At 49.9% G+C, this 1,078-nt stretch overlaps 1 non-coding gene across 1 annotated transcript; it reads right to left on the bottom strand.

The window, feature by feature from the left end:
• Nucleotides 1-698: 698 nt before the first annotated feature.
• Nucleotides 699-802, bottom strand: LOC124905404 (small nucleolar RNA U13). The gene has a single exon (XR_007096322.1). It is a non-coding gene; the product is annotated as a small nucleolar RNA U13 (small nucleolar RNA).
• Between the last annotated feature and the right edge of the window lie 276 nt (nt 803-1,078).

The following is a 1,078-nucleotide window of genomic DNA, read 5'->3' as shown; positions in this document are numbered from 1 at the left end:
GTTGTGCTTCTGGCAGAGGGACAAATATTGCCACCAGACTATGGGGCATGGCAGGGTTCCCTGACACCTAGTTAAAATATCTGAAGGTGCAGAGCTGGGCCCCAGCACAGCTCCCCACCCTCTTCTCCAGAGTCTTTTTCCAGAGAGTCCTGGCCTAGGGAGAGGAATTCCTCCTACAGGTAGACCAAGCTTGCAGCTCTGAGTCCAGTTCCTGATTTCGGATGGTTCTGCCATGACCAGCAACAGACTTGAAATTTTGTTTTAATTGGAAGGAAAAGGAAGTCAGGTCTGAGAACCCAGTGGCTATCCTTGGAATTCAGGACTGGCTACGTAATTTGCCAGGCTCGGTACAAAATGAAAATGTAGATCCTGTGTTCAAAATGTATTGTGAATTTCCAGAGGGTGTGGGCAGAGCACTGTGACAAGCGCAGGGCTCTTCTGAGAGTGGGGCCGCGTGTGACTTCAGAGGTCACAAGTCTGTGACGCTGGCTCTGTGGGTATTTGCGTGCAGCCTGGATTCACAGAAGGCCTTTCTGGACTTTGAAGTAGCGAATATTGACCAAAGGCTTGAAGGTCTTGCGGCACGCGGGAAGAAATTAAGGTGGAAAGACTTAGCCCCATGCCAAACTGGTCAGCAACAATTATAACTCATTATTTCCTCAAGAGAACAGCGTCTACAGTTTTTTGGTTTGTTTTCATGTCAGACAGGTAACGTGCTGACTTCAAAATGAGGTTCGAGGGTGGCATATCTCACACATGAGTGTGAGCACCCGATCATCACACTCAAGAACTACAAAAGGATCTGCAGTTCTTACGAATGCATCTGCAGTTGTCACATATTCACTGTCACCTTGCAGCACAATGTCAGGTCTGGGAGGCATTTCTACGGCATCACACAGGCATTCTCGCGCGTGCTGTAACTGCCCTCTTCTGTTCGGGCTGCTTTGACGTGAGGCCACTCCCCTTCCCTGTTACTCAGGGCAAGCTGCACCCCGCTCCCATCCCTTGATGGCCCCCTTCAGCCTCACACCGCATGGAACATTGCAGAAGCGGTATCAGCAGAATCAGAAGTTGAGAT

This window comes from Homo sapiens, chromosome 3 (genome assembly GCF_000001405.40).
Source record: "Homo sapiens chromosome 3, GRCh38.p14 Primary Assembly".
NCBI lineage: Eukaryota > Metazoa > Chordata > Mammalia > Primates > Hominidae > Homo > Homo sapiens.
The sequence above is the reverse complement of the archived record's forward strand: the minus strand, read 5'-3'. Positions and strand labels throughout refer to the sequence as shown.